General features: G+C 37.5%; 1 pseudogene across 1 annotated transcript in view; it reads left to right on the forward strand.

Annotated features, from left to right (window-relative positions):
* The window catches only part of OVOS1P (ovostatin 1, pseudogene), a 127,984-nt pseudogene that overhangs the window by 28,600 nt on the left and 75,421 nt on the right, over positions 1–23,963 (forward strand). Inside the window, exons 3-9 of the transcript NR_153413.2 lie at positions 3,670–3,826; positions 8,971–9,023; positions 13,967–13,987; positions 14,562–14,730; positions 15,406–15,490; positions 20,823–20,940; positions 23,815–23,873. The product of NR_153413.2 is annotated as an ovostatin 1, pseudogene (transcript). The remainder of the gene's footprint in view (positions 1–3,669; positions 3,827–8,970; positions 9,024–13,966; positions 13,988–14,561; positions 14,731–15,405; positions 15,491–20,822; positions 20,941–23,814; positions 23,874–23,963) is intronic.

The raw sequence follows: 23,963 nt of genomic DNA on the forward strand, positions 1-23,963 counted from the left end.
ATCATAGATGACACAAACAAATGGAAACGCATCCCATGCTCATGCATAGGTAGAATAAATATTGTGAAAATGACCATACTTCCAAAAGCAATCTATAAATTCAATGCTCCATCCAAATTATTTTCTCCATCCAAATACCAGCATCATTCTTCACAGAACTAGAGAAAAGAATCCTAAAGTTCACATGGAACAAAAAAAGAGCCTGCATAGTCAAAGCAAGACTAAACAAAAACAACAAATCTGGAAATATCACATTACCCAACATCAAACTATACTATAAGGCTATAGTTACCAAAAAAGCATGATACTAGTATAAAAACAGGTGCATAGACCAATGGAACAGAATAAAACCCAGAAATAAAGCCAAATACAGCCAACTGATCTTCAACAAAGCAAACAACAACATAAAGTGGGGAAAGGACACCCTAACCAATAAATGGTGCTGAGATAATTGGCAAGCCACATGTAGAAGAATGAAACTGGATCCTCATCTCTCACCTTACACAAAAATCAACTCAAGATGGATCAAAGACTTATATCTAAGACCTGAAACCATAAAAATTCTAGAAGCTAACAGAAAAATTCTTCCAGACATTGGCCTAGGCAAAGGGTTCATCACCGAAAACTTAAAAGCAAATACAACAAAAACAAATATAAATAGATGAGACTTAATTAAACTAAAAAAGCTTCTGCACAGAAAAAGAAATAATCAGCAGAGTAAACAACCCACAGAGTGGAAGAAAATATTTGCAAACTACGCATCCAACAAAGGACTAATATGTAGAATCTACCAGGAACTCAAACCAGCAAGAAAAAAACAATTCCATCAAAAAGAGGGTTAAGGACATGAATAGACAATTCTTAAAAGAAGATATACAAATGGCCATCAAACATGTGAGAAAATGCTCAATATCACTATCAGGGAAATGCAAATCAAAACCACAGATACCACCTTACTTCTGCAAGAATGTCCAAAATTTAAAAATCAAAAAACAATAGATGTTGGTGTGGATGTGGTGAAAAGGAAACACTTTTACACTGCCGGTGGAAATGTAAACTAGTACAACCATGCTGGAAAACCTTATGGAGGTTCCTTAAAGAACTAAAAGTAGAATTACCATTTGACCCAGCAATCCCACTACTGGGTATCTGCCTTCCCAAAAGAAGTCATTATATGAAAAAGACACTTGCACACATGTGTTTGTAGCCTCACAATTCACAATTGCAAAAATATGGAACCAGCCTAAATGTCCATCAACCAACGAGTGAGTAAAGGAATTGTGGTGTATATATATATACACACACAGCCAACATAAAATACTACTCAGTCATAAAAAAGTAACAAAATAATGGCATTTGCAGCAACCTGGATGCAGTTGGAGACCATTATTCTAAGTGAAGTAACTCAGGAATGGAAAACCAAACATCATATGTTCTCACTTATAAGTGGGAGCTAAGCTATGAGGATGCAAAGGCATAAGAAAGATACACTGAACTCTGGAGACTTGGGAAGGGGTGGGAGGGTGGTGAGGGATAAAAGACTATACATTCAATGCAGTGTACACTGCTTGGGTGATGAGTGCACCAAAATCTCAGAAATCACCACTAAAGAATGTATCCATCTAACCAAACAGCCTGTTCCCCCAAAACTATTGAAATACTAATAATAAATAAAAATTATATGTGTGTATGTGTATTTATAGAATGTATATAAAGACAAAGAACACAGGACTCTACAGCAAACAGGCAGGGGAGGAGGGCAGAGGAGCGAGGTGGAGTGGGGTGAGTGCAACTTTACCCTTGTTGGTCACATTTCTACTTTTTTGTAAAGACACTGTATTTGTGCATTTTCTTCTGTAAATATAAATTAATGTTAGAAGAGTTCAGTGCAATAAAAAACAAAAAACTGCAAGTTTATGAAGAGCAGGGATGTGTCTGTCTTGAACACCATTGCACTGTAAGCACCTATAGCACATTATAAATGTTCATGGACTGGAAGGAGAGATCCCCAAAATATTAGCAGTCTTTTTATCTCACTAATGGGACAATGTATAATTTATTCGTTCCAACTACTTTTCTCCATTTTCTACTTTTCTATATGACATTGATAATGGTAAAAATAAAATGATGAACCATGTTGTTAAGAAATGTCTTCATCCCCCATTCTCTCTCACCCCACCCACTAGTGTCACCCAGAACCCAGGTGCAAGGCCCAGACTCACCATCCCATATCAGCTGCATATCCTCATCATGGATCTGGTGGATGTTCACCCATTTGACTGTGAATCCTAAAGATTCATCTGCAGTCACGGGTGTTGCTTTCACAGAGGGCCAGCCAAGAAATTCTAGTATAAAAATGCCGGAAGTCACTACCAAGGATCGATACACATTTAGGAAAGCCAGCACTACAGATGAAAGGAAACATTCAAGAAACAAAACACCCAGCATCCAGCCGGGCACAGTGGCTCACACCTATTATCCCAGCACTTTTGGAGGCAGAGGCACAGGATTGCTTGAGCCCAGGAGTTCAAGACCAGACTGGGCAACATGGTGATCCCCATCTCTACCAAAAAATGCAAAATTAGCCAGGCATGGTGACATGTGCCTGTAGTACCAGCTGGGAGGCTGAGGTGGGAGGATCACGAGCCTGGGAGGTTAAGGCCACCGTGAGTCATGATCCTGCCACTGCAGTCCAGCCTGGGTGACAGATCCAGACCCTGTTTCAAACAAGCAAAACCAAAAGAAAACCCAACATCCAAGGATGGAGTTAATAATAAAATCTGAACAAAACTTTAGAGAAAGTACTATTGAATCCCCAGAAATTTTTTCTTAAAAGATATTGAGTTCAGTTCCTAAAGTGCTTAGAAATTCAAAATTTGAAGTTATATATAAATCAATAAGTAAATCAATACAGGCACTGGTCAGGCAATATCGCCACAGAATAATGAAATAACTATCAAGATACCACAACATCATCCAGAAGAGAAAAATATAGAGTACCTTCTGCATTAGAAAAACAAAAAGTTAAATGAAAATTCAATAGGTGGGTTGAATAGCAGAATAACCACAACTGAAGGGTGAATTCGTTAAAAGTGAATCAACCCAGAAATTCTTCCAAAGTAGACAAAGAAATGGGAAATATGAAAGAGAAATTAAGAAACATAGAGAATAAATCCAAATAAATTCCAAAAATGGAACAGAGATCTTCTTCCTGCTTAATGTAGAAAAGAATATTACAGGTGCGTGAACACCACCCACATAACTGACTTTTTAGGGACAGAGATCAGGCTATTTGACTGTTTGTATAAAGTTATTTTATACAAACTGTATTTTATACAGTCCTCAGTATGAGATGATGTTAAGTACAGTCATAAATGGTAACAAGGGCAAGAGCCAAAATATTTGATTTTATGATAGAAAACTGTTGAAGGGAATAAGACATAGAGAAAGAATGACTCTTGTGCAGAAAAGGGAAGTTTTAAGAAAGGCAAAAGAATCCATTTAAATGGTGAGATAAGGAAGTGACAAAGCAAGAGAAATAAACAAGGTTGGTTACTGAAGAAATAGATATGACAAATTATGAATTAAAACTTGTAGTGATACCAACACACAGTGATAGAGATTTCTTAACAAAAAATCAGTTTCATGGAGTATTTATTTGTTCCCTAGGTTCCTCAGGCCAGATCTGACCCACTGGCATTTATTACATTTTCTGCTAAAGGAGCCACTCTCAACCTGGAAGAGAGGAGATCTGTGGCAATCAGATCCAGAGAGAATGTGGTCTTCGTACAGACTGATAAACCCACCTACAAGCCTGGACAGAAAGGTGAGTGTACCTAAATCAGGTTACCCTCAACTAATGTCACTTATATGATATTTGAATTGATGGTACACAATACAAGCTCAGAAATTTTATTGTATTAAATTTTATTAGAGAACCTGCTTAAAAATACAAAATAAAAATATAGATTACATAGCCTAAATGTTAGAGATTTCATTTCCATGAGTCTGGGGGAGGGAGCCTCAGAAAGTGCATTTTTAAAGAGCACCTTATTCTATTCTAATAATATCCATATTATTCTAATAATATTCTAATAAGATCCATATTATTCTAATAATATTCTAATAATATCCATATTATTCTAATAACATTCTAATCACATATTTGGGGATTTTGAATTTAATTTATGCAAACTTACAAGCTTATGGTTGAAATAGAAATAAAACAGCAACAAAGTATGTCATGAACATGTAATGAGATACGCCTAGTGACTAGAGAATTGCCCAAGTAATAGAATGATCAGCATGATGTTGAATTAAGCTGAAAAGCCTCCTCTCTCCTCCTGGGTACAGAAGGAGTTGATGAATACAGATTACAGCAGTCAGAAGAAAGACATTTCTGATGAGATGAATGGTACATAAAAAAGCACTGAGGTAGAATTAATTTAAAAACCATGCCGTAAAATGAGAAGTAGATAGACTTATTTAGAGTAAAGAAACCCAAATGTCCATCAATAATAGACTGAATGAAGAAAATGTGGCACATATACACCATGGAATACTATGCAGCCATAAAAAAGGATGAGTGCATGTCCTTTGCAGGGACATGGATGAAGCTGGAAACCGTCATTCTGAGAAAACTATCGTGAGGACAGAAAACCAAACACCACATGTTCTCACTTATAGGTGGGAATTGAACAATGAGAACACTTGGACACAGGGTGGGGAACATCACACAACAAGGCCTGTCATGCAGTGGGGAGAGGGGGAGGGATAGCACTAGGAGAAATACCTAATGTAAATGACGAGTTAATGGGTGCAGCACAGCAACATAGCACATGTATACATATGTAACAAACCTGCACGTTGTGCACAAGTACCCTAGAACTTAAAGTATAATAATTAAAAATAAAATAAAATGTGATATAATAAAAGAAAAAAAAAGGAAGGAAAAGAAGCTGCATTGAGAAGAGTTAAAGGAAATCCCTGAATATAGAACTAAAGAGGCATTTTCATGTAGTTAAGTAACACCCATGAGGAGTCACTACAGATGTGGGGATCATGGCTTGAGGAGGCAGTCGTGGATGAACTGGGAATCACAGTAATCAGAGCCTGCTTAGGCACCAACACACTGTGATCCCAGAACAACACAAGCAGAGGGAGGTGAGGGATGTGTGCTGGAGATGGAGGAATGCACTGCATGCATTGTGCTATCCCCACCCTTCCACTCCTCTTCCCCTGACCCTTTGCCTCCCTCCCTCACTTCACAAAAGAGGGCATTCAGGTCAGTATTTAGGGACCAGAGAAAGACTGAAGGACTAGACAAGAAAGACAGGGCATGGCTGTACAGTTTGAGCTGGCACCAACAACGGCGGAACAAACATTACGAGAGCATGCATGCTGGCGTGGGAGGTGCTTATGAGGGGGAAGAGTATATGTGCTTGACACAAGAGGATGTCCAAGGAAGGCTTCTAGGATTCTTGCTAAGGAGAGCTATAGAAGGCAGAGGTGGGGAAGGTGGCTGCTACTTCAAAGAGCACAGAAACATTAAACCTTAATTTAAAATTGCTTTTTTAAAATTTCTTATCCATCCACAGTCTAGTAAAGAGTCTAATGCACAGAGGAAAGGTTATAACATAGCAAAGAAATTGAGCCAGGAGTCTTACGCAATTGAGAGATATTCAGTTTTCAAAAAATTGATCATTACAATCTGAGATTATAATGCTACAAATATTCATAATCTACTCAGCATCATGCTTCTTTTTGAATAAAAATATGGTGTGATATTAACTATGATTGCTAAAACCTCATTGCACAGTTTATTGTTGCTTCATATTTATAATGCAGTATATTAACTACTATATAGTGGCATGAACAAAATATGAAAAAGCATAGTAAACAGATAAAATAGAAAGTGACTAATTCTTCAGTTATTAAAAAATAAGTATATCAAAGATGATATTTATGAATGCATTTAGAGAAAGAAGGGATGAGGTACTTGACTGATATACAAAGTCTTCAGCAAAACAGATTCTAGTTATGTTTGGGAGAATTAAGCTATTCAAGCTATTGGGCTATTCAAGCTTCCAATGTCAGAGTAGAAGGGAAAGCAGCCCCTCTATGTGAGAAAGAAAGGGCTATTATAGAAATAACCATGACAGAAGTAAAGTCAGTACTCATGATGAAATTACTGCGGGTAAGGGATACTGTATAGCTTCAGGTTAGGGGGCTTGATGGGAATGGCTGGAAAGGAGGCTGTGGTAGAAGGCCAGGTCAGAACTTCACAAAAAGTAATGTGTGACTTGCTACACATTAAGTTATGAAGACACTGACTTTTGTGCAATGTGAGGTTTTCATCAGAGAAGATTCAAGATAAGATTTAGTCTTCAGAAAGTAGCTCTGATAACCATAGAAAGATTAGCTAGGTTATGGCAACACAAATGGCAGTGATCCAGTTAGTGACTGTTGTGAGAGTCCAAATAAAAGATGATTACATCTTGAACAAAGACAGGGACAGTTTTGGAGTTAAAGAGAAATCTTTTTTTTTTTTTTTTGAAACGGAGTCTCACTCTGTCGCCCAGGCTGGAGTGCAGTGGGGCAATCTCGGCTCACAGCAACCTCCACCTCCCGGGTTCAAGCAATTCTCCTGCCTCAGCCTCCTGAGTAGCTGGAATCACAGGTGTGCACCACCACGCCCATCTAATTTTTTTGTATTTTGTTAGTAGAGATGGGGTTTCACCATATTGGCCAGGCTGGTCTCGAACTTCTGACCTTGTGATCTGCCCGCCTCAGCCTCCCAAAGTGCTGGGATTACAGGCATGAGCCACTGCGCCTAGCCAGAATTCAATTTTTAAATGACAGAGCTAACAAAGTAGGTGAACAGATTAGAACTAGAGGGCAAAATGTTTTAAGATAATTAAGCGGAGACCTGAATGAAGTGAGGACGTCTACCATGGGTGGGAAAAATCATTCTGGGCAAGAGAAATAGCAGATAATATCTTTAAGGTATGTTTTGATGTAGAGTGTAATATAAAGAGGGAACGACAATGAGGGGATGACAAGAATGAGGGAATAAGAATGAGTCTGAAATTTCTAGCCTAAACACTTGGACAGAATTGTCATTTACTAAAATAAGGAAGTGTAGGGCAAGAGGAAATAAATCAGGATTACATTTTTGGGCACACTAAGGATGAGATATCTTTCAAATATTCAGGCAGACATGTCAAGTAGGAAGCAGTATATTTATGAAACTTTAGGTAAGAAGAAAGGGCAGGGCCAGGCGCAGTTGCTCACGCCTGTAGTCCCAGCACTTTGGGAAGCCAAGGCAGGCAGATTACTTGAGCCCAGGAGTTCAAGATAAGCCTGGGCAACATGGCGAAAACCCATCTCTACTAAAAATACAAAAAAGTTAGCCAGGTGTGGTGGGGCAAGTAGTCCTAGCTACTTGGAAGGCTGAGGTGGGAGGATCACCTGAGCTTGGAAAGTTGAGGCTGCAGTGAGCCAAGATTGTGCCACTGCACTTCAACCTGAGTGATGAGAGTGAGACCCTGTCTCAAAAAAGAAAAGAGAAAAGAAAACAGAAAAAAAGAAAGGGCTGAAGATATGAATTTGAGGAACCATCAATGTAGAGACCACATTTAAACCATGATGGGATATGATGGGATCAGCATTTCTCAGCCAATCTTATGAATCCTGTGATAGCCAAACAGCAAGTCTTTTTTCTAAAAAAAAATTTTCAGCATTTGACACTCATACTCGCACATACATATGAATAGAATTATGAAATAGGTTATCAATAAAGGCTTTTAAAATTAATGTGTGAATAAATGAATTGAAGCCAGGAGAGGGTCAATAATCTGGAAGAATGAGATTAACAAAGTTGAACTCTAAATGAACCTGAAAACACAAAGGGACAGAAAGTATAGACAGATGACAACATAGACTCTTGTCATCAGCAATTGACATTTTTTCCAAAATACAATAGCTCTGATATGATGACCAATACCAATTTTGGCATGAATCTTCATTTCCCTTAAAGCATGTCAAAATTTCCCATGACAGGCTAAGCAGTAGAAAGGAAGACCATTAGCCAGGTGACATTCTGTGACAGCAACCAGAAAGTCATTAGATGACATCAACAGGAATAAATTTTCTGAAACTAGTGGCATCTAAAATAATAATTTCTCTCTTTTGAATTAAAATGCAAGAAAAAAAATGTTTTGTTGGATTTGTGAATTAGGAAGTTACTTATTTCCCTTCTCAAGCCATGTGGAAGATGAGAGGTCTCCACTATAGAGACCTAGAGGGAGAGAGGCAACCTCAGAGCAAAAAAGAAATCAAGTGTTTTGTGAGAGAAATAGGGGCAGAGAGAAACATCTTCAAAAGAGAATGAATTTTACTGACTGGACAGTAATATAAGTTTGACAAGGTCCATCAGGCTGAGAACCAACTCGGGGATAGGACACAGATGGATAAGAATGTGAGAGTGGGAGAATATAGCTGATTGCAGGTGCTTCCGCTGCGGGTTAAGGGAATAAGGGTATTGGTTGATGAAGGATACACAGAAAAGGCACATGCTGAATAAGCATGCATGCAATCTCTGTGAGGAATTGTACTAACAGTTAAGTGACCTGCCTCCTCTGTCTTTCGTTTCTTTAATGAAGTCATTAGGCAGCCTGAGCATATGTTGTGAGAATGCATACGAGGAGAAAGAGAAAGAAGGGATGGAAGTACAAAAGGAAGACAAGAAGTTCTTGTACTGAACCCTTTCTTGGCAGTATAACTTAATAAGCTCAACCTGGTAACCCCAGGATCCAATATGTCTTACATAAGATGTGCATGTAACTCCTCATCACAGGTGGTAGTAACCTAGTGCTTTTTGATTCACCTAAGTTAATCAATGTAGGAGGAAAGTTGTGAGGACACAAAAGTTAAATACTTTCTTTACATCATTGTTCTTTCTTTTTTCAGTGATGTTTTGAGTTGTGTCTCTGGACGATCATTTGAAACCAGTTGATGAAATGGTAAGTTATAGCTAGAAATAGGTAGGTATTTGTGCATGGTTTTGCTTCTTAAAATTAATCCATGAAAATGAGGCAGGCCAGTCTTAGTTATTGGTTTTACATTCTTATTAGCCTATGTATTCCTCCCTTACCATCAAACTTTTTCTTTTTTTCTTCTTCCTCACTCTCTCTCTCCCTCTCTCTTTGGTCAACACAATTAAACCTATTTCCTAATTACAAATAAAAGTCTGTAATTTACTGAATCCTTACCACCTATAAAAGCACTGTGCTAGGTAAGCCGAGACCCAAAGATACAGAAGAAACTCTTTCTGTCCCCAGAATGATTACATTAGAGCAGAGGTTGTTGGAGAAGAACACAAATGAAGCAACATGCATGACTATATTCCTGACATCTGGAAGAATAGGATACGGCAGATAGTAGGCTAGTAATATTATACCATTATTAAATTATGTATTGAGTGAATGAGTAATGTTATGTAGAGTGAATATTTTATTTATGTATGTATTTTAGTGATGGAGTCTTTCTCTGTTGCCCAGACTGGAGTGCTGTGGTGCGATTATAACTCACCAGCCTTAACTTCTGGGCTCAAGCGATCCTCTTGCCCCAGCCCCCCAAGTAGCTTGGACTACTGGCAGCACCATCATGCCCAGCTAATTTTTTTATTTTTTGTGGAGATGGGGTTTTGCTATGTTGCCCAGGCTTTTCTCAAACTCCTGACCTCAAGCAATTCTCTTGCCTTGGCCTGCTAAAGTGCTGACATTACAGGCATGAACCAGTGAGCCAAGCCACAATAATACTTTATAATGATTGAATGAGTGAATTACATAACCAGTGAATGAAAGCATTATGGCTGCTTTGTATCTGGAGTTACCAGGAGAGGTATTATCTTAGATCAACTTCTCCAGAATCAGATTCTGAGAGAGGGAAAAACGGACAACTGAATTATTAAGGAAGTGCTGCCGGGGGAAACCAATAAGAGAGTGGAGAGAAGCAGGACAGGGGAGGGGAGGAGGCCAAGCATGGGTGCAATCAACTGATTTTGGGCAAAGTCTTCAGACTGACTGGCAGGAAGCTCCGGAGCATAAATTACACTTCACAGTTTGTTCCACAGTAGGAACCAAAGCTGGGCTTTTGTACTCCAGCATCAGGCAGTTATTGGCTCTGGGCATCACCCAACATAGGAGTAAAACCCTAGGAACTTGCCAGGAGGCTCCAAAACAGGCCTCTCAAAAAGTTCACAGGTGAAAGCTGTTAGAAGTAAAACACAATGGAGCTGGGGGTGGTTGGAAAGAACCAGAAAAAGGGATCTAAGGGGGAAGCATTGGCCATGCCTGATACAGATGTCACGGGGTAGGTGAAATCGAGACATTCCTTAGGGAACAGAGATGACCAAATGTATAAATTAGGCCTAGAAGATACTGTAGGCAGAGAAAAAATGTTAGTGAAGGCATGTGGGTAGAGAATCAAGAGGATTTAGGGAATAGTCGTAACCCAGCTTTGCTGAAACTTATAACAAATATAGAAAGTCACGTTGAAGGGCTGGGCGCAGTGGCTCACGCCTGTAATCCCAGCACTTGGGGAGGCCAAGGCGGATGGATCACGAGGTCAGGAGATCGAGACCATCCTGGCTAACACGGTGAAACCCCATCTCTACTAAACACACAAAAAATTGGCCAGGCATGGTGGCGGGCACCTGTAGTCACAGCTATTCGGGAGGCTGAGGCAGGAGAGTGGCGTGAACCCGGGAGGTGGAGCTTGCAGTGAGCCAAGATTGCGCCATTGCACTCCATCCAGCCTGGGTGACAGAGCGAGACTCCATCTCAAAAAAGAAAAAAAAAGGCATGTTGAAAAACGACTTGGAAAGGAGGCTTGGTGCCATATTATGAAGGCACTTGAATTACAGTTAGTCATAGAGGAGCAGTTTGTGTGTAGAGCAGAGAAATAACTTGACTGGGGATGTGTTCCAGGACCCCTTCCAATTTTTCCAGATATTGTTCTTTATTTACACAGGGATGGTAAAGGGGGAAGTGTTGCTACCCATTAGGGAAAGCGACACTGCCTCACTTTCCCTAATGGGAAATTCAGAGAAGTTATTTCATAGATACTGATGTGCAGTTAGGGAACTAAATACATGGTGGGAACATGGTGATGGTAGTCTAAGACAGTATTTCAGCAGAAGACTACAAGCTAGCGACAATCTGAGAACCAAGGCGATCAACAGTGAAAACTGTCAAAAGACAACGAATCATGACCTGGACTTCAGTCTTTACAACAGGATACCTGACAAATTTCATTTCATGTAGTTTAGAAACCTGTTAGAACTAAGCATTCTTTTGTGGTCTCTCAGATCAATCTATCAACTGAGCGCAGTTACGAAGAAGCTTCTGAAGCTTACAGAAGCTGTGCAGATGGTTTCTCTGTTAGTGCCTTTTCCTCCCTCCAAACTGTACTTCATCCTTAAGACATCGTCACTTTTAATCCACCTCCTTTCCCCATCTTCTATAGTTATGCTACATTCACTAGACTGTTGCTTAATTTTAATTTCCAGAGCAGGAATCTAATTTTTAGTGCTCCAAAGACCTTGTAGTAATCTAAATCCGAAATCACTTCTGTAAGATAGCATGTGGTTCCTGTTCTCCTTGGTTCATGGTTGAAGCTTCTATTTCTAAGAATGCAACTCCTCTATTTAACCAAAGCAGTGAGAATTTCTACTGCAATCCTTTGACAATCATCCTTGATTGGAAGCACCATGGGGAAGTAAAGGGCTTCTTGAAAATCAAAGCAGCTGCAGCATTATCATAACTCCCTTATTAGTTCTCACCCCCCGAATGTTGACTTATTATTGTCAATTAGGCCAAATATGATTACCCAACTCCCTGCTTTAGTAATAACTACATTTGCATAAGAACAGGATTAATGGACTGTTCCCTCAAATATGGGTCATAGATAAGAAGATCGTTTGTACCAAATGTTTATGGCAAGGAGTTTCCATGGCACAACAAACTGCATGTGCTTATGTATAGAGATGGAAATTGATGTAGCATTTCCAAAAATGATGGCAGCTAAGAGATTATGTGGTTTTATCTTTGCAAGCCAGTGTTTCTAATTGCTGGACATTGTCCGGTTCAGTATTCCATTTAAATAAATAGATTCAATGCATGGCTGGCCTATGAGATTTGGGTATTCATAATAAATTTGACTACATAATAAAAATATAGTAATGATGCAACTGGGCTCATTATCAAATGAGCCAAGATATGGAGCATATACCTAGTTTCTTCTGCCCAAATCCTACATCGGTCTTTTCTTTCATTTTCTGCAATTTCATTGCTGATGGTGCCTTTCTTTTCCTTTAAGTCAGTGTTTTGTAGAATATTCAAACATACTTTTTCCAGAAAGTTTCATTTGCATCAAGAAGTTTCAGATCTTTCTTTAAACTTATCTTAAGACCTGGAACTACTAGTCCTCTAAAAAGAGGCCCTGTGTATGGACAGGGAGAGATAGTATGAACCAGAAGGGGACATGAAGGAGTTGTTGTATTGGTTCTTGGCTGGTTTATACAAGATTTAGTGCAGACAGTCATTAGTGACTAGAGCAGAATCAGCCTCATTTTAATAATTGTTTTTAGAGAAAAATCAAGCAGCTTAGAACAATGAAAATGTGATTTTACTAGGTTCTTGTTCACTAGTTTTTTGAAATAGACCAAGCTGAGTTAAAAAAAAATCTAAAAAAAAGGACAAATTAAGTAATAAAAACTAAATTTGTTGAACACAGTTGAAGCCATCTGCATTGGAAGTATTACAAATAGCAAACAAAAAGGGATAGTACTCTAGGTTCATTTCTCATTATTAGAATCTCATCCAAATGGTTAACGTCTTCCCATGGCACCTTTGGGTAATATATTCATTTTCTTCCTATGAGGAAATCTCATGAGAAGCTCTACCTCTCTTAATGCTTGAGTTAATGTTGCAGCAGTAGCTTTCTTCAATACCATCTCAATATTTCATCAAGATTCAATTCCATGAATTTAGAATAACAAGTAGGCCCTTAATTCAACTGTTATATTTCTCAGTTCCAAGAATTCTGGACAAGGTTTATGAATCCTGTTCCTATCTCCAGACACATTACGTTTTATTAGTGAATGAATGCTGCAATTAGTGGGAAGGAGCACTTAGCAACTTGGGGAGTGGGCAAAGGACCCTATGTACTCATTTTTAAAATTCTCATCAGCCTATTCACATGAGGGCTTCTGGCCTAGGAGTCTTTAATTTCAACTTGTTAGTTTTAAGGTCCTGAGAGAAAACACTAAGAGATGAAAGTCAAACTGTTGACTATAGGTTTAGAGGGGGCAAGAGTGGTAAACATGGAGAGAACTGAGAGGAGATACAGAGAGGTGGAAGGAGAAGGAAGAAGGAGAGGAAACTCTGCAAGGGAAACTTGGGCAAATGTCTACATTTATTTACTTGTCTGATAAGGAAATGGTGGAGTATAGGAATGGCCAATAATCTAAGACAAAAACAATTAGTGCTAGATACAGAAATCAAAATTGAAGCATTTCAAAAAGAGGCAACCAGCAGTGTAAAACATTGCAACTGTCAGAGTGAAGACTGACCACGAATTTGTTGATAAGGAAGTTATTATTCATCTAAGAGGGCATTTTTATTATGTTGGAGAGACCCAAGGGCAGGATTGCTTACTGAGACTGCAGGGTGTATGTTGTGAAAGAGAGAGAAGTAAATGAAAATTCTTGAAAACTAGGCAGATGAGTTTCAATATAATCAATAGATATTCAAACTTTCAGTCAGAAATCAGTATTTGTTTGGGTTGTCCTAAATGTGTTTATGTTTCTTTGCTTCATAATAGATTTATAATTAACCTCTTCACTCATCTAGAAAAAAAACCTTGAGTTCATATATTAACATTATTTTTATTTTTATTTCAGTATCCAGTGATCACCCTTCAGGTAAGATAACTAATAGTTGAAGAATTGTTTTCTCATTTTTTGAACATCTCTCCAAACCTCAAAATCAAAAGGCAGCTCACAGGGAAGATTGTCTATTTAAATTGTTGCAGAATTATTAATTTCATGCAGACAGCCCCAAGAGGACAGAAATAGGTTTCCACCCCCACCACCATGTGATTCATATTAGCATGCACCCATTAATACAGACAATAATAATATAGACAACGGGCAAGTATGATTGTATTTAATTTAATGTTTAGTTGTTGAATGTATATAAATGTACACTTAATGTTTATGCACTGGGGATAAAATATGGCTCGCCTTTAAGAAATCAGAGATTGACACAGAAAATAAATGTAAAAAAATCACAGCTAGCTCTAAAATATACTAAGTGCTGTAATATGCATCTATGTGACCCCAGATAGGAGAGTAACCAATTCTCCTTGGGTGATGTGAGGACGCACTCATGTTTTGAATCCTAAGTAAGTTGGAAACCTAAGTAGGAAACACCTTGCTGAAACTTTATAATGAATAAAAACATCCAGCATACAAAAATACGCTTTCTTATTCTCAGGATCCAGAAGGCAGTCGAATACAACAGTGGGTGAATGAGGAGTCTGTGGGAGGGATTCTACAACTCTCCTTCCAGTTAATCTCAGAGCCCATCCTCGGATGGTATGAAATCACCATGGAGATGCTCAATGAGAAGAAAACATATCACTCCTTCTCTGTGGAAGAATATGGTAAATAATAGCAATGAAAATATTACCTATCAATAAAAAAATTATAAAATCTTTCCAATTTTGCAAGGGCAAGATTATTAAATAATGAATTTTCAAGTGAGTATCTCTTCCTTTCCTCTTTCCTTGTCCTCTGTTACTATTTTAGGGTTCTCCATCTACTGTGATTTTTATCTCCTAGTTCAGCCCATAATCTTCCTGCAATTCTCTGTTAACCTAGGCTATCTATCTTCCTTTTGTAGTATCTGGATTCTATTTTATATGATAGTTTCTGGGATGTAAAGCACTTCTTATGAGAAGAATGGAATTAACATTAGTCATATGTTAGCCATTAGTCCCTTCATATTTTCTCCTAAAATCTTCATAAAATTTCTATTGTAGTATCTTTATTACTATTTTAAAGATGAAGATATTGAGAAACACTTTCCCAAGTTCAACACCTGAAAAGTGATGAATTTGGAATTCAAAATATGCATTTTTCTATCCAATTCCAAAATCCAGTCTTAGGCACTTCAGCGTCCTCCTCACACTGTTTATTAATGGCAAACATAAGCAAAGGTTGATGGTTTGTAAAGGAGAAACAATTGTTTTGTATGAATGTATTTATGTTAATATGTATTTATGTTAATAATATATAATATACACATTATAATATATATATTTTTTTTTTACTGGCAGTGTTACCCAAATTTCAAATGACTGTGGATGCACCAGAAAATATCTTAGTTGTGGACTCTGAATTCAAAGTGAATGTCTGTGCCTTGTAAGTTGAAATTGTACACAATAGAATAATGTATTCATAGAAAGATACTAGAATGGGATAGATGGCTAAAAAGAAGTAAAATATAAATGTGTAGAAGGTAAGGGAAAAAGAAGGTGTGAAATTGTTTTGCTGATTTTATGAATTCTTCCATGCATCTATAATTCTTTTAATGCATGTTATGACACGTGGTTTTATGTAACAGTTTAAGACAACTGACTACTGTCTTTCTTACATCATAAGATAACATATTGTTTTGCACCAGCCAATACAGTAGCCATGACCACATGTGGTTATTTAAGTTTTAATTAAAACTAAATATTCAGTTGCGTTAGCCACATTTCAAGCTGTCACATGTGACTAGTGGCCACTGAATTGGAGAGCATAGACATAAAACATAGAACATTCCATCTCCCAGAAATTTCCATTGGACAATATTTTCTGTTTATGACGATTTCTCAATTCAATCTTTATGTATTACATGATTATAAAAGAAAGCTGAAGCTCAAGATGTATCACAGAGAAAACTGCTGTAAGAGTTACAAGTGGCTCTAGGGTAATGGCGGGGCACAGTGTGGAGGATACTAAGGGCAGACAGGGACTTAGGGGCAAATAGTGAGGATTAACGTGTGGCAGGAGTAGCAGTGAAGCAGGTCAGGTTGTTTTCCCCTCTTCTTGTCACTAAGGTAAGCAACATTCACGGAGTTTATATAACCAGCAAAGAGAGCCAGGGTACAAACATTAAAACTTTGTCTCCTCAGACCTGATGTGTACTACTTTTCCCTGACTCATGTGTACTACTTTTCCTTTTAATTTTGCATAATTAAAAATAAAAAGTGACCTGGTAATTTCTAGTTATTAGGAGAGCTTCATTACAGTAATCTAAAATTCCATGCCAAACTTTAAGGTGAAAGCTTTGCCTGCCCTCCTTCCTGTGTCTACTTTAGGCTGGAAGTCTTTAAGAGTCAAGAAGAAGCATGGCTAACTTTTTGATGTCACTACCTTGTGCTTCACCTCCAGAGGTGGAAGAATACAGAAAAGGCAGAGACTGAAAAGTCTCATTGTAGTTGGGTCATAGAGGCAGGGAATTGCCAGCATTGCTGGAAAATCCCCTGAGTAACAGAAATCCCCAAAGCCCAAATGTCTAGGTACTTCCCTGTCACAGTGGCTGTGTGTTGGCTCCTGTGTCATTTTTACTGGAGAAGTATTGCATAAGCAAAATAAAGCACTCTAGGACAAGCCAGCTGGGAATCCCAAAACATAAGCATGAATCACTAAATGGTTGAAGATTCTAATGACTTGAAATCAAGGTATAATATAAACAAAAAAAAGAGCAATATATACCTGAGAAAACTGTTGAACATCAATCAGAAAAAGATTTAGAAATAAGTAAAATGTGTATACTCAGATATGAGTCAATAGTGTAACTTTAAAAATAATTAAAGACCTTGGAATTAGGCATATTATTAATTTAAAAATATATGTGTAGAAAGGCTGACTAGAAGGATCGATGATACTTAAGAGAGAATTAGTAATTTGGAAGATGAAATTGAGAAATTGTCCTAAAACGTAGCCCAGAGGAATCTACTGTTATTCCTTACAAGCAATTTTGTTCTTTGCTCTTTCTACCTATTTAAAATTTTTTAAATTATACTTTAAGTTCTAGGGTACATGTGCACAACGTGCAGGTTTGTTACAAATGTATACATGTGCCATGTTGCTGTGCTGCACCCATTAACTTGTCATTTACATTAGGTATATCTCCTAATGCTATCCCTCCCCACTGCCCCCACCCCACGACAGGCCCCAGTGTGGGATGTTCCCCACCCGGTGTCCAAGTGTTCTCATTGTTCAATTCCCACCTATGAGTGAGAACATGTGGTGTTCGGTTTTCTGTCCTTGAGATAGTTTGCTCAGAATGATGGTATCCAGCTTCATCCATGTCCCTACAAAGGACATGAACTCATCCATTTTCATGGCTGCATAGTATTCCATGGTGTATATGTCCATCTATCATTGATGGACATTTGGGTTGGTTCCAAGTCTTTGCTGTTGTGAATAGTGCCGCAATAAACATAAGTGTGCATGTGTCTTTATAGCAGCATGATTTATAATCCTTTGGGTATATACCCAGTAATGGGATAGCTGGGTCAAATGGTATTTCTAGTTCTAGATCCTTGAGGAGTCACCACACTGTCTTCCACAATGGTTGAACTAGTTTACAGTCCCACCAACAGTGTAAAAATGTTCCTATTTCTCCACATCCTCTCCAGCACCTGTTGTTTCCTGACTTTTTAATGATTGCCATTCTAACTGGTGTGAGATGGTATCTCACTGTGGTTTTGATTTTCATTTCTCTAATGGCCAATGATGATGAGCATTGTTTCATGTGTCTGTTGGCTGCTTAAATGTTTTCTTTTGAGAAGTGTCTGTTCATATCCTTCGCCCACTTTCTGATGGGGTTGTTTGATTTTTTCTTGTAAATTTGTTTAAGTTCTTTGTAGATTCTGGATATTAGCCCTTTGTGAGATGGGTAGATTGTAAACATTTTCTCCCATTCTGTCAGTTGCCTGTTCACTCTGATGGTAGTTTCTTTTGCTGTGCAGAAGCTCTTTAGTTTAATTAGATCCCACTTGTCAATTTTGGCTTTTGTTGCCATTGCTTTTGGTGTTTTAGACATGAAGTCCTTGCCCATGCCTATGTCCTGAATGGTATTGCCTAGGTTTTCTTCTAGGGTTTTTATGGTTTTAGGTCTAACATTTAAGTCTTTAATAATCTGTCTTGAATTAATTTTTGTATAAGGTGTAAGGAAGGGATCCAGTTTCAGCTTTCTACATATGGCTAGCCAGTTTTCCCAGCACCATTTATTAAATAGGGAATCCTTTCCCCATTTCTTGTTTTTGTCAGGTTTGTCAAAGATCAGATGGTTGTAGATGTGTGGTGTTATTTCTGAGGGCTCTGTTCTGTTCCATTGGTCTATATGTCTGTTTTGGTAGCAGTACCATGCTGTTTTGGTTACTGTAGCCTTGTAGTATAGTTTGAATCAGGTAGAGTGATGCCTCCAGCTTTGTTCTTTTGGCTTAGGATTGTCTTGGCAATGCAGGCTCTTTTTTGGTTCCATATGAACTTTAAAGTAGCTTTTTCCAATTCTGTGAAGAAAGTCAATGTTAGCTTGATGGGAATAGCATTGTATCTATAAGTTACTTTGGGCAGCATGGCCACTTTCACGATGTTGATTCTTCCTATCCATGAGCATGGATTGTCTTTCCATTTGTTTGTGTCCTCTCTTATTTCCTTGAGCAGTGGTTTGTAGTTCTCCTTGAAGAGGTCCTTCACATCCCTTGGAAGTTGGATTCGTGACTTCAAACTATACCACAAGGCTATTGTAACCAAAACAGCATGGTACTGGTACCAAAACAGATATATAGACCAATGGAACAGAGCAGTGGCCTCAGAAATAGCACCACACATCTACAACCATTTGACCTTTGACAAACCTGATGAAAACAAGCAATGGGGAAAGGATTCCCTATTTAATAAACGGTGTTGGGAAAACTGGCTAGCCAAATGCAGAAAACTGAAACTGGACCCCTTCTTTACACCTTATACAAAAATTAACTCAAGATGGATTAAAGATTTAAATGTTAGACCTAAAACCATAAAAACCCTGGAACAAAACCTAGGCAATACCATTCAGGACATAGGCATGGGCAAATACTTTATGACTAAAACACCAAAAGCAATTGCAACAAAAGCCAATATTGACAAACGGGATCTAATTAAACTAAAGAGCTTCTGCATAGCAAAAGAAACTATAATCAGAGTGAACAGGCAACATACAGAATGGGAGAAAAATTTTGCAATCTATCCATCTGAGAAAGGGCTAATATCCAGAATCTATAAGGAACTTAAATAAATTTACAAGAAAAAGCAAACAACCCCATCAAAAAGAGGGCGAAGGATATGAACAGACACTGCTTAAAAGAAGACATTTATGCAGCCAACAAACATATGAAAAAAAGCTCATCATCACTGGTCATTAGAGAAATCCAAATCAAAACCACAGTGAGATACCATCTCATGCCAGTTAAAATGGCGATCATTAAAAAGTCAGTAAACAACAGGTGCTGGAGAGGATGTGGAGAAATAGGAACGCTTTTACACTGTTGTTGGGAGTGTAAATTAGTTCAACCACTGTGGAAGACGCAGTGGCCATTCCTCAAAGATCTAGAACCAGAAATACCATTTGACCCAGCAATTGCATTACTGGGTATATACCCAAAGGATTATAAATCATTCTACTATAAAGACACCTGCACACGTACGTTTATTGCAGCACTATTCACAATAACAAAGACTTGGAACCAACCCAAATGCCCATCAATTTTAGACTGGGTAAAGAAAATGGGGCACATACACACCATGGAATACTATGCAGCCATAAAAAAGAATGAGTTCATGTCCTTTGCAGGGACATGGATGAAACTGGAAACCATCATTATCTGCAAACTATCACAGGAACAGAAAACCAAACACCACATGTTCTCACTCAGAAGTAGGAGTTGAACAATGAGAACATATGGGCACAGGGAGGGGAACATCACACACCGGGGCCTGTCGGGGGTTGGGGGCAAGGGGAGGGATAGCATTAAGAGAAATACTTAATGTAGATGATGGGTTGATGGGTGCAGCAAACCACCATAACACACGCATACCTATGTAACAAACCTGCACCTTCTGCACATATATCCCAGAACTTAAAATATAATAATAAAAAAAAATGAACAGTTTTACTTCTTTCCAAAACAAACAAACAAAAAGAAATTACCCCAAAATCTGATGGCTTAAAATGACATTTATAAAAAATAAATAAATAAATATAATTTACATTTTAAAAGTAAAAACCATAAAATATGCTCATAATAGCAGTTTAAAAACAAAAAAACTAAAAGAAGCAAAATGTTATTTTATTTTATTTTTTGTTTTTCAATACTCCATTGCTATCAGTATGCAAAAAATATTATTTTTAATGAAATAATGACTGATTTTTTTTGTTTTTTTGTTTACATTGTATTTTAGTGACTTAGATATATAACTTCTACATGCCTATTTCAACCTTTTTAATTAAAATATATTTTTGCCTAAAGCATTCAACTCAATTTTAGTCCATACCATTGTTTTAGATTTCCTCCAGAAAATAAAATTTATGCTAACTAGCTATTTAAATGTTGTTACGGTGCTGGTTTCAGCTACTAAATAAAGGTTTCAAAACCCTATACAGATTAAAAACGACCTTGACCTCTGTAATTGTGTTATTGTTATATTCTTCTATTAGATATACCTATGGTGAACCTGTGGACGGGAAGGTCCAACTTAGTGTGTGCAGAGAATCTACGGCTTATCATTCATGTGCTCATCTTATCAGTTCACTCTGTAAAAATTTTACCATTCAGGTAAGAGGTATATCAGCAAAATTATAAATAGGTTTGCGTTAACTTTTTATCCTCACCTTCCATTTACCTTCCTTTCTTCTTGTTTTCCTCTTTACAGTTAAAATATATACTTTTATTCTATATTTCTATTCCTATTTGTAAATTTTATATTCCTCTTTTGTCATGCTAAGTTTCATTTTCTATTGACTGACAAAAAGCAAATTATAGTATCAGAAACTGAGTAGTAAATTTCGATTCTTAATTAAAAATACATTTGGTTTCATATCAAAATCTACACCCTATCAATTTACTGGGAACATATGTCCTGTTCTTTATTTTATACTTTGTGAATTTAGTCAGGGAGATGTGACGTTTCTGCATATTCAAGAGTATTAGATGTATAATTATTTTCCTCTCAACCTATTCTCACTGGAAATAAGTGTATATAGGAGCTCCGGATGGGAACCCTATCAGTCAGGTTCTTAACCACTAAAGAGAAGAATCAACTTTTCCAAACTGACAAAGGAGGAATTTCCTAAAAGATCTACTTGGAAGGTTTGAGAACCAACATTCAGAAAACGGACACAAACAGGCTGGTCTAGGATGTAGCAAGGCTTTCAGCTATAATCATGCCAGATCTGACTGTCTAATATACAACTGCCAGCTGCAATCCCCATACTATAGTGTGATACCATTTATCCACACACATGTGTGCACACACACACAGGTGCACACACACAGTGTCACATATTCCTGTCCCGTTTAGAGAATACTTTAGGTTGGAAATAATGAAGAACCTTCTAATTCTTAAATTAAAAAAATGTGGACAATAAACGCTAACAATAGTAACAATTATAATAATAATAATTGCTAACATTTAATGGATGCTTATTGTGTGTCAGTCACTGAGCTAAGTAGTTTATGTGCATTTGATTCTCAAAACAAATAGTACCCTATGAGGGGGTACTATTATCGCCCCCTTACTGATGAGTGGATTAAAGCAGAAAGAGGTTAAATACATTGCTCAAGGTCATGGGTGCAGCAAAACTAGATCATAAATACATGTCAATACATATATATTTTTAGACAGTCTCACTGTGTCGCCCATGCTGGAATGCAGTGGCGCGATATTGGCTTACCGCAACCTCTGCCTCCCGGGTTCAAGCAATTCTCGTGCCTCAACCTCCCAAGAAGCTGGGACTACAGGCGTGCACCACCACGCCCAGCTAATTTTGTATTTTTGGTAGAGACGGGGTTTCACCATGTTGGCCAGCCTGGTCTTGAACTCCTCATCTCATGTGATCTGCCCGCTTCGGTCTCCCAAAGTGCTGGGGTTACAGGCGTGAGCCACTGCACCCCAACCAAGTCATATAAATATTTAAATAACTAGTGGGGCTGTATCTTTAGGGATATCAGGGATACAAAAATTTTCTCCACAAATTCATTCAACAGATAATATTGAGGTCTTTTAATATGCAAGAATAATTTTATTTAGAAGCTTCATTGTTGAGCAAGACAGATCAGGTACTATCCTCATGGGTTTTGCACTTTATGAAGCAGTCATAATCTTTAAAGATGCACACTCTAGAAGAGACTAAACCAATATAAGCCGAGTGCACAGGGTAGGTAGATCCCAGAATGCATTATCGAAGGCGGCTATATTATATAGATGCCCTTCAGGAGATTTGAGAGATCTGGAAACTTAAAATGTACATGTAGGGTGGGAAGGGGTGAGGATCAAAAAAACTACCTATTGGATACTATGCTTATTACCTGGATAGTGAAATAATCTGTACACCAAACCCCCATGACACACAATTTACCTATATAACAAACCTGCACAGGTACCCTTGAACCTAAAATAAAAGTTAAAATAATCAAATGCACATGTAAAGCAGGAGTGTGGACTAAATAATTTATCTAATTATTCACCTTTAGTATAGTGGAAATTTTTCTAGATCTTTAAGCTTCTGGAAATGGTTCTAGACCTTCTTATAGTTTCAAGGACCCCCTGAAGTAGCACAGGATTTTGACATCTCACCACATCTTGAGGACTAGATTTCCTCATATCATCATAAGATGAAGGAGTAGAATAAGAACACAGTTTTTCCCCAATATTATAGTCCAGGAACCTATGAGCACAATTTATCCCACGTTTTAAAAATATTTGACAATTCATCCTGTTTAAATTTTGGTTACTAATTGTGACACTTTAAAAATTTCACTTAGTGAGACATTGTCACTTGACTAGACACTGAGAGAAATGTAAAGGAATCTAATTAAAAAATCTACTACCTACTGAATGTTTACTAAGTGCTGGCCCTGTGCTAAATAAACACTTTCCAGTTATTATCTAATGTAATACAATTCTACAAGCTCTTTATTAAGATTTCATTTTGTATGAAGTAATAAGTAGTAAAGCCAGGGTTCAAATTCTGGTGTTTGACTGTAAAGCCTGTGTTCCTAACTGCTGTGTAAATAGTCCCATAAATGTCCAAGGCATGGTAACTAAATAGTATAAAACTCAGTTTCAAAACTGTAAAAGAATATGGCTGAAATTACCAAAATTGCAAATATCATGTGTGAATACTTGTGACTAGTGATGGATGTGTTTATTATCTTGTACAATAACAAAATAATGTCACCATGAAGAGTTTTTTAAAACACAATATTGTAAGAGTTAATATTTATTAAAAAATAAATAGTTATAGGTAAATACATGAACTGAAAATATAATTATAGAAACACAATGGATTATTTTAAAAAACTAAAACTTGGGTAATACAATATTCTTAAAGTTGCTTCAGTGAGGTCACACATTTTCCCTATTATATTATATAGGTATTTCTTACAGTCTTCCTTTAAAATATAACTTTTTTTTATTGTTCTTTTCAGTTGGGGAAAGATGGCTGTGTCTCCAAGTTCATTAACACAGGTGCTTTTGAGTTAAATCGGTAAGGATACTGGAGTTTCCTCAAAGTGCATGCTCTTGTTACAGAGAACGGAACAGGTAATGCTCTCTAAGAAGCCAGACCCCAATGGAT

Source organism: Homo sapiens, chromosome 12 (genome assembly GCF_000001405.40).
Source record: "Homo sapiens chromosome 12, GRCh38.p14 Primary Assembly".
NCBI lineage: Eukaryota > Metazoa > Chordata > Mammalia > Primates > Hominidae > Homo > Homo sapiens.